The 17264-nt window shown below is 42.8% G+C and overlaps 1 protein-coding gene and 1 long non-coding RNA gene across 5 annotated transcripts in view; both read right to left on the reverse strand.

The window, feature by feature from the left end:
- The window catches only part of STX18 (syntaxin 18), a 123376-nt gene that overhangs the window by 47068 nt on the left and 59044 nt on the right, over nt 1-17264 (reverse strand). For all 4 annotated transcript variants that reach the window (NR_144414.2, NM_001346282.2, NM_016930.4 and 1 more), the window contains exon 2: nt 5604-5671. Coding sequence is in view for 2 of the 4 variants with exons in the window: in NM_016930.4 (NP_058626.1) it covers nt 5604-5671 (68 nt within the window). In the remaining 2 variants the exon portion in view is untranslated. The remainder of the gene's footprint in view (nt 1-5603; nt 5672-17264) is intronic.
- STX18-IT1 (STX18 intronic transcript 1) lies at nt 10086-15665 on the reverse strand. The gene is made up of 4 exons (NR_126434.1): nt 15570-15665; nt 12632-12939; nt 11849-11962; nt 10086-10109 (listed from the first exon to the last, which is right to left on the reverse strand). It is a non-coding gene; the product is annotated as an STX18 intronic transcript 1 (long non-coding RNA).

A 17264-nucleotide genomic window follows, 5' to 3' on the forward strand; every position in this document is an offset into this window, starting at 1 on the left:
TTTTCACCTCAAGAAATGTGGTAGAAGTGATTACGAACAAATTACTCTTCTACCAGGCACATGTGAAAAGTACCATAAGAAAAGCACAGAAAAAGAGCTGTCAGTATTCAGAGGCAGGAGAGATGGCTTTCAGATAGGAAGGCAGGGCCAGGGCAGGCTCTACCGAGAAGGTGGTGGTGATAAATGGGTCTCTCAGGATGGAAGCATGTGAACATGTGACATGTGTGGATTGGAGTGAAGAGCAACAGGCCAACCTGATAGTGTGAGTAGAGGCCTGGAGGCAGAACAAATGTTAATTCTGAATGCAGCTGTAGGGCACATGAAGGAAAGGGGTAGGATGGAAAAGTGGGTGAGGGTAATGAAAAGTCTTGCTTATCTAAGAAGTATGGATGGGCCACATCCTGCAGGCAGAGAAGGGATTTGAAGAGGGAAGCACGTGATTCCATCTACGATGATAAGGACTACACCTGTGCCTTCCAGACAGACCAGGAGAGGAAGGGACAAAGAGCAGGGAGTTGAGAACAAAGAGATCAGGCAAGTGACAAAGGCTGCACTGAAGCACTCTAGAGCGGATGGGAGGAGCGGGCAGCATGCATGGGAATGGTGCTGCTCACAGGTGCTGGGCGAGCAGGACAGTGGCAATGGGGACTGGGAGAAGCCTGTGCCTATGACATGCATTTAGGAACAACTGTAATTGCCCAACAGGTTCATCTTGCCCACCGCCCAGATAGAGCTGATTTATCAAGACAGGGGAACTACAATAGAGAAAGAGTTAAATATACATAGAGCTGTCTAAAAGGGACACTGGGGTTTTATTATTACTCAAATCAGCCTCCCTGAAGATTTGGAGGCTCGATTTTTAAAAGCCAGTTTGGTGGGCAGGGGGCTAGGGAATGGGGAATGCTGACTGGTTGGATTAAGGATGAAATCCTAGGGAGTCGAAGCTGTCCTCTTGCACAGAGTCAGTTTCTGGGTGGGGGCCATAAGACCAGATGAGCCAGTGTCCTGGTCTGCATGGTGCCAGCTGATCCATCAAAATGTGGGGTCTGAAAATACCTCTAACATCAATCTTAGGTTTTATAGCAGTAATGTTATCTATAGGAGCAAATGGGGAGGTTAGCAGTCTTCTGGCCTCTGGCTACATGACTCCTGAGCCATAATTTCTAATCTCGTGGCTAATTTGTTGGTTTTACAAAGGTGGCCTTGTCCCCAAGCAAGAAGGGCGTTTGTTTCCAAGAGGGGCTGTTATCACATTTGTTTCAAAGTTAAACTATAAATTAACTTCCTCCCAAAGTTAGTTTGGCCTACGACTAGTAATGATCAAGGGCATCTGGGAGGTTAAAGGCAAGATGGAGTTGATTAGGTCAGATCTCGTTCGCTGTCATAACTTTCTCACTGTTACAACCTTTGCAAAGGTGGTTTCACTACTGGCATACTGGTGAGAGAGGAAGCCACAGTAGGTGGTAAGAATGTGTGGTGGGCAAGGGCAAGGATTCCATGGCCAGCCCTGGCTCAGAGCTCACCAGCTGTGATCTTCAGGTTATGCCATCGCTATGCTTTCATTGCCTGCCTGCCACACAGGCTTAACAGCAGTGCCTTCCTCATAGGGTTGATGTGAGGAACAAATGAGATAAAATATGAATAACTGGTGCTTATCAGAGTACCTAACACAGAATAAACATTCAGGATGGAAAGATAAGGTGGGCATGGGGGGTGGGTGGGAGGGTAGCTAGGGAGGTAGATAGAACTTTTTTTCTAAGCAAAGTAGAGACAAAGAAAAGAAAAGGGCCTGAAACAGAGCCCCGGAGTTCTTATGGGATAGATGAAGGACAAAGAGGCAAAAATGAGTGGTGAGAGGAGCCAAAAAAATACTGTAATGGAAGTCAAGGGAATAGGAAATTTCAAGAAACTGATGATGGTCAACAGGATCAAAGGCTGTGGCAAAGTAGAAGAGCTGAGAAAAAACCATCAAGGCGCTTAACATCATTCTCATTAGAGAAGGACACACTTCAAGTACAGTGACTTGCCATTTCACATTTGTCACTGGAATTAGACAGGCTAGCCTGAAAGTGCACTTTAAAACTTTTTATTCCTTTTTCTCTTTTCTCCCTAGTCTCAAGATGTAATCCTAAGGCTTACTGCAGAAACCCTTTTTTTTCCTCCTTAGTCTTAGAATACAGCCTTGAAACGTACTTTCTCTGAAACACCACGTCCCCTCCCTTTCTCACCATACATTCCCTTACACCATGCACATTTACCTAACTGTATGTATCTAATTATGTGCTTACCTGGAAGTTGCAGGGGCTAACTTGAAATAGACTGAGCACGGAGACCTAACTGCAAAATTCCAGAGATTACCTCAAGGCGGGTAGTCTACAACCCGGCCATTGCTGACATGTCGCCAGCCTGCGATGATAGCTATCAGAAAGAGACACACAGACCTAGTACGCAGCATCGCTCCTGCCTTCCCACTGCTTGCTCTGGAAATAAAGTCACCTTCCTTTCGTCCTTGTTATTGGCTTTGCAAGCGGTGAGCAGCCAAGCCTGGGCTCGGTTACATTATCATGGTTAAAACTGAAAAGCCTATTTACACCAAATGTTGGCAAGGATAGGGAGCAATTATAACTCGCATGCATTGCTACAAGGAGTGAAAAACCACTTTGGAAAATTGCTTGGTAGTTTATTTTAAGGCTGAGCATGCACCTACCATTTGTATGACCCACTAATTTCACCCCTAGGTATTTATTCAAAGGAAATAAATCAGTATGTCCACAAAGAGACTTGTAGAAGATGCTACTCACAAAGGCTTTATTCCTAATAGTCTCAAAGTGGAAACAGCCCCGTATTCTCTATTAGATAAATGGATAAGCAAACTATGGTAACGTCACACAATGGAATATTAAAAATAATAAAGCAACAGAAAGGAACAAACTACTGGTATACACAACATGCAAGAACCTCAAAAACATGTGGAGTAAAAGAAGGTAGACACACCAGAGTGTGTACCATACAAGTCTATTTATATTCCCCTTGAGGAAAAGCCACTGGATTTGGTGATTAGGAAGTCACAGATGAGCATTAGGAGAAAAATTTCAGAAAAGTGAGGGAAACCGAGCCATATGGTTGGCGCAGAGTAAAAGGTGAGGAAGCAGAGGTCACGTCACCTGCAGTCCGTAGGCCAAGTCTAGCCTGCAGGCATGGCTCCCTATGGTCTGAGAACTAAGAATGGTTAAAGGTTTTTAAAGGTTGTAAAAAAAACAAAACAAAAAATATGTGACAGAAACCATATGTGGCCCACAGAACCTAAACTATACTACCTGGCTCTTATAGAAAGTTGGCTGATCCCTGATTAGACTTTCTCCCCATGTTTGGCACTGACGTGAAATGAAGCGACAGGGCCTGTTGGCTTAAGGAGCAAGCAAGGTCAAATGTATAAACTAAAAGGAAGAAAAGAACCGGATGACCAAAAATAGCTGGGAATCATGAATACAGCAGTACCTGAGAAGCGGTGTGAGGGATGAGATAAAGGATATGCTTGTACCGCTGAATGTATAAACTAAAGGGAAGAAAAGAGCCAGATGATGAAAACTGGCCAGGAATCATGAGCACAGCGGTACCTGAGAGGCGGTGTGAGTGATGACATAAAGGATGCACTCGCACCACTTCTCAGGTACTGCTGCATTCATGATTCCCAGCTATTTTTGGTCGTCTGGCTTTTTTCTTCCCTTTAGTTTATACACAAGTAGGACAGTATCCTTAAAAACAAAGAGAGGGGTTTCTCTATGACAGGTGGAAAGAAGGTGATGAGGTGAGGAGGAAACTGAGAGACCCTATTAGAGGTTCCAAACTTTACCGAGGAGTAGGCTCTGATGCCACCTCGATGGGGCCTTCCTGACTACTCTGTGTAAGAATCACAAGCTTTCCCAGCACTCCCGATCCCTGTTACCTTGGTTCTACTCTTCCTTTTCTTTCCATAGGACCTATGACCTAATGTACTATACACGTAGTGCTTGTCTTTGCCAGCCCACGAGAATGCAAACGCCATGAGGGCAGGAATATTTGTATTTTACCCCCAGATGTGCCCTAAGCATCTAGAATTCAATAAACCTGTGACGAACCAGGAAGTTTAATCTGAAGTGAGGGGTCAGGCTGCAGCAGGGGATCTCAATGTCAGCACCTCCTCAGTTTTGGGCCGGGTAAGTCCCTGTTGTGGAGAGTTGTCCTGAGTTGTGCACATTCTTGGCCTCTACCCACTAAATGCGCAATACTCCTCTTCCTAGTTGGGAAAAACAAAAATGTCTCCAGACATTGCCAAATGTCCCCTGGGGTGCAAAATCACCACAGTTGAGTGCTGCTGGGCTAGTCATGGACTTTAGGACTAGGAGGAAATCATTCATTCAACAAGTATTTACTGAGTGCCAAATATGGGTGAGGAACTATGGAAACACGATGGAAACCTGACAAGGTCCTTGACCTCATGACATGTACAGCCTGGTGACAAAGACAGATAATAAACTGTAATTATTAAATAATTACAAATTGTGTTTTGTTACTGAAGAAAATATACAGGGTGGAGAAACTAACTAACAGAAGAGACCTACTTTATAAAGGGTAGTGAGAGAAGGCCTCTGGGAAGAGGGACTATTAAGTTGAGCCTTTAAGTTTGAAAAGGAAACCACCATGGGAAGAGGAGGAACAGCATAGGCCTGGGCCCTGCACCAGGAAAGGGCATGGCACCTTTAAGGAAGGCTGGCATGGCTGGAGCACCGTCGTGGGAAGGCGGTGTTTGAAATAAGGCCAGGGGCTAGATCAGGAGTGGGGAGACCGCAGTGTAGAGGCTGGTATTAATGCTAATTCCAATGCAGTATTCATGGTGGGCTTACTCAGGTGGTGACATAATCCAATTAAAGTTTAAAAAAGACTCTGGCTACTGAGTAGAAACTAGACTTAGCCACCAGAAGGAATGTCAACATGAGTAACATTAGGGGATGAACAGAAGGATTCAGCAAAAGTGCCGTAAGAAATGAAGGCTATGCCAAAGTGGGTGTGTAGCTGCCTCTAGCAGGTGTCAAAAGCCTGGGAGAAGGACAAAAGAAGAAAATGGCCATCAGGACTGAGGACTGGGAATTGGCGAGGGAGGCATGATCCAGCGACGTGAGGGTAAGGACTGAAATGTGCTCATGAGAACGTCACCAAACCAGCAAAACTGGTGTCACAGACTGGGACCGCAAGAGATGGGCAAAAATAGCTTAGCAGAGGCTTGAAAACTTTGTTCTTCCACAGGTTGAGGGCATACAAATACATGTGTCCCCAACTTCAAATACAGCTCTGTAAGTACTCATGGAGTTTCATTTGACAGGAGATAATGGTACATAGAGAGATACAAATAGACTGGAAGATATTGCTGTTGTGATTTCATGACTTTGAGGACATGGAGTACAGCAGAGCCTTTTGCTTTGAGGAGATTTTTCCACTGCCAAACTGGTCTTCCTCATTACAACTCTGAGTTATTAAGAAAAAGGTGAGGGCAAAAAGCGCAAAAGAAATATAGGTGTAGAAAAGAACACAGTCACCAAAGTCCTGGTAAAAAAATATGTACTTACCTATAAGCATTAATATAATCTTTCCTGTGTTCCAGAAGAAAATCTCTCAGTTTGCCAATGTGAGAAATCTAAAATTAAAAAAGAAAGCCAACAGTTTATATAGATATGTTACACTCATGTAATGAATTTTAAATTAATAGAGAATAAAATGCAAATTGCAGAAAGATTCTGAAGCTACAAACTGAGCACCGTCGGTTTTGGACTCTCGTACAGTCACAAATTAGTTACCATTCCTGGGCCTCAGTCTCTCATCGATGGTTCCTTCCACCTCTAATTATTAGGACCTATGACACTATGAGTAGGTGATTTCTAGGTAAGTTAAAGACGAAATGAGATAATGCATGTCTAGTAATTACATAGCATGTGTTCAATAAGGTTAATTCCTTTTCTTTTCTTATAGCTAAAATTGCACAGCAAGTATTCCTTCTTCCAAGTGTTCTAAGGGACAGTTCTAAAGCTGAAGCTGTTGCGTTTGTAAATAGGGCCCATGCAGAGCAGCAGAGTTAAAGCAAAGATTCAGGGGTAACAATTTATCCCCACATAGCAAATCTCTGTCTTTCCTATGGGCTATTTCCATGGATGAAGAAAAAGAACTCAAAGATACAGGTACAAAGCACTGTGTTTGTGATGGCTGTTTCTAGTATAATAAAAACCTATTCTAAAGCACCTACTACATGCCAGGTACTGTGCATGGAACTAGCAATTCACAAATAAATAAAAAGTGGTGGGAAGAACGCTCAGACCACAGTCAATAGGGACAAACGTGTTTCCAGAGGGAGAATGATTACTAGCCAGTGGCCTGCTGGTCCTCTGACGACGTCTTACTCCAGCTTCCGACTCACACACTTTGCACTCGTTCCAAACACACGTGGCCCCAGCCTTGCAAGGTCTGCGGAACTTTCATCTCTTCCATGGAAGTTTTTCTGTCAAGGCCAACCCAGGCTAATTTTCACTTTGCTCTGATCTTAAAAGGACTTCTGCACACCACACTCTTGGCACTCAATTATTCATGGCCATGTACTCTGACCTAACTTTTATATACACACTTCTTTGTCAGTGGCAGAACTATGCAAGGAGGGGCTGCCCATCTTTCCCTACAGTTGTAAGCACAACAAGAAGCACAGAGGTGATCAATAAACACTGTGGAATGAGTATATGCCTAAATACAAAATAGCATTGATCACAAAAGAAACATCCATGGTTTGTCTGGAGATATGTCAGTTTGGGTTCAGCTAAATTTCCCACATAGTCTAGACTCTTATTATAAATGTGATTCAGAAAAACACCCTAAGGCATTGTAAGCAAACAAATCAAAGAAAAAGAATTAAGTATGGTCACAATATTCATTTATTTCACAGATAGCAAATCAGGACTGAGAGACTGTCCACCATCCCTGACACTGCTCAACACTTTCACGTACATGGCCTATTTCTCTTCCCAACAACCCTGCTGTGCTATGATTCTTACTGTTCTCATTAACCAGTTTGGGAAAAGCTAAGTGACTTGTCCAAGGTTACACATTTAGTATGTGAGCTTGGTTTCAAAAGCTCAGGACTGAGTCCAAATTCAGCGTGTTTCCCAGTGCACCACCATGCCTGCCTGCCTTACAATCCTGTTCCTGCTTTCCACTTAGGCTGCATCAGGAAATCTGACTTTTTTTTTTTTTTTTTTTGAGATGGAGTCTTGCTCTGTCACCAGGGCTGGAGTGCAGTGGTGCCATCTCGGCTCAGTGCAAGCTCCACCTCCCAAGTTCACGTCATTCTCCTGCCTCAGCCTCCGGAGTAGCTGGGACTACAGGCACCCGCCACCACACCCGGCTAATTTTTTTGTATTTTTAATAGAGACGGGGTTTCACCATGTTAGCCAGGATGGTCCCGATCTCCGGACCTCGCGATCCGCCCGCCTCAGCCTCCCAAAGTGCTGGCATTATAGGCGTGAGCCACCGCGCCCGGTCGGAAATCTGACTTTTAAGTCTGTTGGGAAAAAAATTAAGAGATACGCAAGCAAGGTGTTCATTCCATCACATAAAAGATTTGACCAAGCTACTCCTCTGTTTCAAAACCTTCAATGGTTTCCATCTCCTTACCTCCTTCCCCTGCCTACCAGGGGTCAAACACTCAACTACTTCCAGGGGCCATGTGAACAGCATAAATGAGCAAAGCAAGGGAAATGCGTGGGTAGAATACATTCGACAGTGGTGAATTCTGGTTTCAAAATACACTGCAGTTAAAGGAAGCAGCTCTGCATGCTGATTTGCCAAAGGAAAGCCAATGAGTCATCTCAGTGTCTAAACAACGGGAAAAAGTCCAAACTCCCAAATGCAGCACTCAAGGCCCTTCACAACTCAGCGCTGAAAGTCCCTGCCGCACACCCCGCACCACTCCAGCCTCCAAGTCCCAGGCCTTCCCCTCACTTGCATACCCATATGGTTCTCCCTTTCCCTGGAACGCCCTACCCATCATTCTCTCCCAGGCAAATTCTTCCTCCTCATTCAAGATTCTCTTTTCCTCCTCATACTCACCCTACACTCCCAGCTGCAGTCAGATCCCATTCCCGCACAAAACGCTACATGTGCATCTATTTCAGCACCTGTTCCTTCATGATAACAATGACTAGTTCATAAACTGATTTCCCTTCACCAGACTGCAAACTCTGAGAGGGCAGAGAGTCCTCTCTCTTTCCCCAGAGCTTGTCAGGCAGTTTCTGGCACAAAGCAGACCCTCAGAAACTTTTACTAAATATTGAATAAATAGTGGGTACTGAATAATCCCAGAAGGATTATACCTGCTACCGTAGGCAGAATAATGGTTTTCCAGCTTCCCCAGGCCCATCCCCCTGTAAGATGTCCAACTCCTAATCGCCAGAACCTGTGACTATATGGTGTTACATGACAACAGGGCATTAATGCAGCACATGAGTTAAGGTTGCTGATCAGCTGACCTTAAAGTAGAGAGATTATCCTGAATTATCTGGGTAGGCTCAATCACAAGGGTCGGTAAATGTGGAAGTGGGAGGCAGAAGGGAGAGTGAGAGTAATGCAATGTGAGAAAGACTCATTCCAATGTTGCTGGTTTTGAAGATGGGGAAAGGAAGCCAAAGAATGTGGGCAGCCTCTAGAAGCTGGAAAGGGCAGGGCAATGGGCCTTCCTTAGAGCCTCCAGAAAAGAACACGGTCCTGCCAACACCTTGATTTTAGCTCAGGGAGTCCCATTTTGGACACTTGACTTATAGAACTATAAGATAATAAATCTGTGTTGTTGTAAGCCACAAGTTTGATGTAATTGGTTACAGCAGCAATGAGAAACTAATACACCTACTAAGAACCTTACTATCCACAACAGGTGTTTTTTTAGAAGCCATAAAGTTTTCCATACAAAGTTTTGAAAAGTGCAGAGGAATCTACTGTACAGGTTAGATCCAGCTGCCCACCCCTACTTTTAGTTAGTTCTATTCTACAAGGGAGGGATGGTGCCTAGGGATGAATGCCAGGAGCAAGCAAGCTCCACAGAGGCCCACAAGCACATAATTATTATACAAGAGGTTGCAGTTAGTCTAACAAATGTGATCCCAACTTCATATGCTCTGTAATGGGAAATTTCTATGAAACGAGGTTATTAAAACAGAGTGCAGGTGGTTCAGGATTAAACAGAATTCTTGATAAGAGGTGTGTTAAGTAATTACTGACTAAATTACATCAGTATAATAACTCAATACTTAACAGGAACACAATGTATGATATTTTAAATGCTGAGAATGAAAAAATAAAGGAACATTAAGATTTCTTTAGAAATTTGAGAGCTCTGAATTTTCTATTAATTTCTTTAAAAAAAAACAAAAAAAAAAACATGACAAATCAACAACAAAGAAAAAAGTTCAACAAATCTTTGATTTATCTACATAGGCATACCTAAGTCCCCAAATAGCATAATACAATTATCTCTGCAGAGAATGATTTGACTGTTTAATCACATGACTACCATTAACTTTATAAAGACTCTTGGCCAAGCTTAATCTATTTACTGTTAGACTCAGTCCTATTTTTCAGAATAAACTGGCAAAGACCGCATATTATAGCGCATACAATTCTGACGTGCTCATTACATTTTCACATTTTTAGAGAGGTTAAGTAGTTGTATGCTTTGGATTTTTCTTTTTTCTTTTTTGTAGATATGGGGTCTTGCTATGTTGCCCAGGCTGGTCTCAAATTCCTGGGCTCAAGTGATCCTCCCCCCTTGGCCTCCCAAAGTGCTGGGACTACAGGCATAAGCCACCATATCCGGCCTATGTTTTGGACTTTAAATGTTTCCACATGCAGTGCTAATTTTGGAAGAGTCACTTAATATGATAAAGTAGGAATAAGTATATACATCAAGAGAATGCCTCTTACTTGAGGTGTGTTCAGAAGGTGCAGCATCACCATGTAAAATCTACTAAGACTGGGCAACCTAACAGCTTCACAAGATCATCTGTCCTCACAAGTGAACAGTCTTCCATCAGACTGATGGTCTATCATGGAAAAGAGTTTTCATCAGTGAGCTACGGTTTGATTACACCGCCATATTAAATATGTCTCCATCAGAGAGGAAGGGTATGGACAAAGAATAGAGAATTCTGTATTTCTAACATAAAGTGTAGTTTAAAACAAGAATTGAACTGTAGATAAAAGAAAAAGGAAAGGAATGTAATATTTATTTAATGTCTCCTCTATACTAGTTACTGTAAATGAGTTATTTCACTTAACTCTGATAACCTGTGGAAACAGATATTCTTAGTGGAAAGAAACCAAAGCTCAAGACTGACTGAGCTGGAACTAGAACCCTTAACCATTACGGGGAACTAGCATGGGCTCCCTCAGTACTGTTAAATTAATAAATATGTTGGTGTTTTTTAGTTTCATTTGATGTTAAAGTCGTTTTAATGTCCACTGTATATTGTTATTTCACTAAAGAATCTCCTACTTAATATTTAGTGATATTAAGGAATAATAAATTTCAGTTAGGTGTAATAATGATATTATGTACTAGGATTATGTTTTCATTTATCTTTCTGTTTTTAGAATCCTTATATTTTATACACGGAACAACTTACAAGTAAAATTATACAATGCCCAGGATTTGCTTCACAATAAGACAGGGGGAGGTAACAGATGCAACAGGATGAGTCCTGAGTTGCTCAAGGCTGAAGGTGAGTACATGCTTATATGGGGGGTTCCTTGTGCTATTCCACTTTAGTATATATTTGAAATTTTCCATAATAACATGTTATTTTAAAAAATCTCGGGGCTTGGGCAGTGGCTTAAGCCTGTAATCCCAGCACTTTGGGAGGCTGAGGCGGGCGGGTCACCTGAGGTCAGGAGTTCAAGACCAGACTGGCCAACATGGCGAAACCCCGTCTCTATTAAAAATACAATTAAAAAAAACCAAAAAACCAAAACAACAAAACAAAACAAAACAAAAAAACTAGCCGGTGACGCACATGCCTGTAATCCCAGCTACTCGGGAGGCTGAGGCAGGAGAATCACTTGAACCCTGGAGGTGGAGGTTGTAGTGAGCCGAGATCGCGCCACTGCACTCCAGCCTGGTGACAGAGCGAGACTCGGTCTCAAAACAAAACAAAACGAAACAAAACAAACTCATGTAGTACTTTCTTCTTTTAACATTTTTAGTCATTTTGAGGTAGAGATTTTCTGCTACCAAACTAGGAACAACCCTTACTTAGTAACAACTAAATCCCAACAATCTCTGGCTACTTTATTTCTAAGTACTTGCAATCTTTGCTTAAATTCCATGTAACAGGATCAATGCCACCAAAAAACAACAACAAAACTTTCACTGGGACCTCACTCCCAGTCAGGCGGAAGTCCAAAAGAGCTCTGTGTGTGCTACTCACCCACTTCTCCCAGCAATGCCCAGGAGCAGTGACAGCATCATGGCTGCCCCATGGATGAGAAAACCGAGTCAGAGAGAGGATAAGGAATTTCCTCAGGGACATGTGGGTTGAAGCCTGGATCCAATCCAGCCAGTCTAAGTACCAGTCTTGAGTTCTTAACTGCCAAATTTACACAGAATCCTGGCAAGTCACAACTACAGTTTTCCAGTGCTATATTTGCAAGGAAGCACCTGGGAACTGAGAAAAAGCCTCCACGTGGGCAATATCAACATCAACCTGCTCTTTTCTTTTTGTACTACATCTCTATTCAACATGCAGTACATGCTTGATTTCACCCAATCGTGATCGCTACTTACAGAGCACCCGCCACGTGTGTGCCAGGTAGTGCATAAACTGCTTGACGTGTGCTCTGTGGTTTCCACCCCTCCATAACGATCGTACGAATTAGACATTACCTCCTCCTGCCCCACCTAGTAAACATGGAAACAAACCTAAGCAAGGTCACAAGGCTAATAAACGGAAGAATTGGCATTGATCACAGATCTGTATGACTCACGGTGTTCATGTTATGTTTAGCTTAGTTAGGTCTGAATTTTTCTTCATAGAAAGAAACTGAGCTTCATGAGAGTATTTGTGAGAGTATTTGTATATGTTGATTTTTTAACAAATTAACTACACTGGATACAGAAAGATCGGCAAAAAAAAAAAACAAAAACGTTTTCACTGATTGACATTTGTCTCCTCTGAAGTTGGCTACTACTGTTCCTTGTGTTTTACGACATGGGGGGCTTTGGATTGGCAAGCCCATAGGGGTATTGAGAAGAAGGTTCACAAATACAGCAAGGAAAAAGAATGGTCAGAAAGACTGGCAGTACAACGGTGACCAGTGCATTTTGAGTATCTATCATCAAGCCACCTGAAAACATGGTTTAAACAAGTAACGAAAGCAACATCCAGGATTGTTCATTCTCCCGTTTGAGTTCATCTATATTCAGTTTTTAGCTTAGAATAGGGTAGAGGGCAGAGGAAAAGACTCTGTGGGGGGCCTGGATGAATCAGGGTGGACAAAAGAAAGATGGGCATGAAATCCAGGGAGTTGGCCAAGGTGCCTGGGTTCTACTCCCTGCTTTGCCACTTACTGTGAAGGGATTCCTTATTCCCCACTGCCATGCATCATGTGGAGGGACTTCAGCTGGACCAGTCTTCCTGGCCTATCTCCCAACCTTTACTCACTCTTCTTAGAGGGAAGAGGAGAGAGCTGTGTTCAGATTTTGAGAAGGGAGAGCATGCTGCCCTGTCCTCTCCTCTTTTCAGATCGACCAGCCAGCAGAGAGGGTATATTCTGGCCCATGCCCCACTCGTATTGGGCCATAACTCTAAAGTCAGGTTCTCCACTTGGCTTTTTCTTGCTGACTCCTGTATTTTTCTTTCAGGTAGTTCCACTGGACTGGGAAGAAAGGGATATATTTTACAAGCTCCACTCAACTTTTAACCTTTGCCAGCTGAAATTTTGAGCAAGTTGCTTAATCTCCGTGGGCTTCACTACAAAAGGGAATTGGGTAAAAACTATTTTTAAAAAATAGTAGTGGCACAAGTTAATAGTCAATTTTTATTGAGTACTACATACTATACGGCAGGCACCAATCTAAATGCTATGCATCCGATTTGCTTCTCCTAACAATCCCTTAGGGTAGGTATCATTATTACCCTTTTGCAGATGAGAAGACAGTAAACTAACACATCCTGTATAAATGGTTTGAAATAAATACAAAAATAAATTTTTGTTTGGTATGTCTCAAACCGAGTGCCTGTGTGCTTTTAGCTTCTGCAAGTCTACCCACAAAGATGACTCTGCTGTCCCATCTGAGTACAATTAAGTCACTGCAGGTCGCATTTACCAGACCTGTAGAAGGGACATAGTGAGATCTAACTTGTTCAGGTGAAAGGCACTGTCTATAGCTATGGGCCAGCACAGAACTAACAGCCACAATCCAGGATCAGCCAGGCTCTGGCTCCTTCATTAGGCTAATACTTAACCAAACAAGTTATTTAAACTCCATTCTAAAACTACAGGCATTCATCTGACTCATCCCATTCTTTCTCCAAAGATAAATCAAGTTTACTTTTTAACTAGCTATATTTTAATGACGCTAATTTCCTAGATCATCAAGACATTGAAATTCTCCATAAAACCCATCTACCATAAAACCAAATTCATTATAAAACAGCAGTATGGTCCCTACATGAGATGCATTTGACAGGGGGAAAAAAAGACTCTCTTACATTATCTGCTCTTATACACATAAAGGTTTTACTAGGAAACACCAAACAAAACAACACAGCATCCCAATAGGCAAACAGGTCTCCTGTGAGAGCTGGTCCTATCAGTGGATCTACACAGTTGACATGGACTCAACACCAGGAACTACTAACATGGATGAAAGTCCCATAAGCATATTACCTAGTGGGGAAAAACTGAGACAAAACAGAGGTTGCCCAAAGCATGTATGGTGTGACCCATATGCGTGAAACATAGGAAATGCACACCTAGAGCTGTATACATACATAGAGGGGAATCTAAAAGACTGCTCGGCAAGGTATCAATGATTGTAGGTGGTAAGATTTGGAGACTGCTTTCTTCTTCATACTTTTTGCACTTTAAAATTTTTCTACAGTTACTACGTAAAATCCTTATAATCAGATAAAACATGTTATTAAACAATCAAAAAGGGTGAATCTTCCCACATACTTCCTTGACTAAAACTGTACATTACCTTCCCCTTTAACCCAGGATAAGCCCACATCCTCATGCCCAAGGCCCGCCAGTGCCCTACGCTCTGCTGCTGTCTCCAGACGCAAAGCCCTCCCTGCTTCCCAATCCTGTCTTCTGACTCACTCCTATGCGTGAGGCTCTGCTCAGGTGTCACACCTCCTAAAGGCTTCCCTGCTAACTCGAGGCCAGGTTAAGGATCCATCTTGCAAATACATCCCTTGCAGAGATGTCACCATCTTCTGAGTTTTGAATTGTTTTCATGTCTCCCTGACATAAGCTGCTGAGGCGTCTGCCTAGCCCAAAGTGGCTCCTCAATAACTATTTAATGCTCCACATGGGATTTTCTTTTTTTAAAAAACTTTTTGAATTGATTTTCTATCCCCTTCAAGAATCAGTAATAGGGTACAATAAACTCCAAACATACTAAGGCAGCCACATACTTCCCATTATCCACTAGATGGCAACACAAGTATTAGAGCAGCAGTAATAACAGGACCTCTCAAAAACAGCAGTTTTTTCCCAAGGACTTTAAAAATTTCTCTGATTCTTTTGATCTGGAATCAAAGGATTAATAAAGGTTCACCATTCTGTGCAGGAGGAAGCTGAAATGAGATTGTTTTTAAGCATACATATGCACTACAGATGAGTTGAGTCCAGGAATATTCTGAAACACTGCACTCTAGGCAGATTCCACACAAAGGGAGCTCTGGGAGCATGGCTGCCAGCTGCCATCCCAGGCGGCAGGCCCAGCTTTGTTTTTATGTGTCACCCACAGAACAGCCTTGCTAGCTGTTCCTTCGTGGGTGTTTTGTGAATTACCCAAAGCACGATATACTGTACAACAAAAACCCTGGTACAAAATGATGGGATTCTTCTCAAAGAGCGACCGCATTCTGACTGTGGGGAGAGTTCAAAGCAGTCGGCAAGTGTCCTTTGCTGATCACAGCAGTGGTTTGACTTGCAAACCCCCTCACCCTTCCCAGGATGATAGAAATTCTGTTCTGCTGGCACTCACAACACTTCCAACAAAGACCTGATTGATTATGGAACACTAAGTACTGATTTGCATAATTTGCCTCTGCAAGAAACAAGCATTGTTCAAGATTAAAGAGACTCCAGTAGGTCCCTCTGGCATATTGTAAAAAGGTCCCTGTAACACAAAATCATTATTTTTTTTTCATTCAATCAGTGGACACAGCTTGCTGTTCAGTTAGTATGCAGCCAAAGGCACAGCCAGAAAAACCACTGCTGTATGTTTGCCAACTACTGACAAGTTAAAGTGATTTTTCACAAGGATCATGTACCCAAGTTTAATTTGGAGCCCACTGACTAAATTCCGAGTCTAACTCCTTTCACTCTTAATTGAAAAATGCATCAATAGCAATTACTAAGTCAGAGCTAAAAGTTCAGAACTAACACACCTCTGGAGCATGTTGACCTGCTGATGTCACAGTGGGGACTGTCTGAGTCCTATCCCTGTGCAAAAGAAGCTCCCCAGTGACCAATCACCCACAAAAGAGGCTAGCACAGCCACAGACATTCCACTGTGCTCAGGACCACAGCAGCGAGTTTGTTGAGGGAATACATAAAGGAACTGTTCCTTTCTCGCTTTCTTCTTTTCTTTCAGCAGTTGTTGAGTAAGCAACTCCTGTCACTTTCCCCCAATTCCTACTGAGGGGGACACTCTTCACCAGGCCTCACCAAACTCGGATGGCTCTCCTCCCTGCTCCTGCCTCCTCCTTCCTTGTCCCCTCCTGAAGCACTAGCCTCCCTCGGGTTCCAGAACACCACTGTCTCTAGGTTCTTTTCTAAAACCTATAACTCCTTTTCTTCACCTTCATTCATTCCCTCTCTGCCTTTGTTAATCTCTGAAACTTCTTGTAAGTTCAGCCCTTGGCTCTTTCTTTACATGTTCTTGCTAAGCTCACTCATTCCAATCCATAGCTTTATTTACTGTCTACATGAATTGTCCACCCAGCCGCTGCCTCCCTCCTGTGTTCAAGCTGAGTGTATCCAAATGCTTTTTAGATACTGCCACTGTGTGTCCCACTGACGCCTCAAAAGCAATATGTCCCAACGGTATCCTCATGCAGCCACTCACACCCTCTGGCTTACTCCTAGTCCCTCCTGTTCTGACGGCCCCAAAGAGAAAGTCTTCATCCTTTCTAGATTCCAAGTTAGAACACCTTGGCCATTTTACACTCTTCTCTCTTTTTCACCCTACAAATGAAATTGGTCAGTCAGTCCCATCCACTCACCTTGTTAAACACTGGCTAAAGGAGCCAGCTCCATCTACCAGCTTCTGTTCCTGCACTTCCTGCAACCACCTGCGTGCCAGACCACAGAGCCTTTCCTTAAGCAAGCCTCCTCTTCTCTGCCCTGCACTCTGGCACCTGCTTCTCTCTGCCCAGAATGTCTTCATTCCCATCACTCAACTTCTACTCAAAATTGCAGGCCCAAGGAGGCTTTAAAATATAGTATTCTGGGTTCACTTTCCACCTTCCTTGAGGCAAGCTGTAAGTGATAAATGTTAGCTGAATATATCAAGTTCTTTATTCCATCAGTCTGGAAATCTTACCAGAAAAAATAAATAAGGCCATCTTAACCTAGGAAAAGTATAATCAATAGCTAAATAACCTATTGCTAAGAACCAATACTAATCTTACGGGACTGCGGCTTCCAGAATTCAGCATATGTCTTTTTAGAGACAGAAGGAGAGAAAACATGTGCACAAAAGAGGAGACTGACTTTTCTAGATCCAACCTTCTTACTGCAGAGAGTCTCAAGTAACAGACAATGAGGCTGGTTAACAGGGGGGCATGGGTGGTTAACACTAGGTAGGTGGATTTAGCAGTCTAATTTCTCATATTAGCAACTAACTTTCTAACAACCTGGAACGTATAGCTTCCTTTCTAATATTAAGCCCCTATCATCTTTAAAGAAACCCAGAAATTAAAAAAAACAAAAACCTAGAATCTTAGTGTTGATGACACAAAGAA

Source organism: Homo sapiens, chromosome 4 (assembly GCF_000001405.40).
Source record: "Homo sapiens chromosome 4, GRCh38.p14 Primary Assembly".
NCBI lineage: Eukaryota > Metazoa > Chordata > Mammalia > Primates > Hominidae > Homo > Homo sapiens.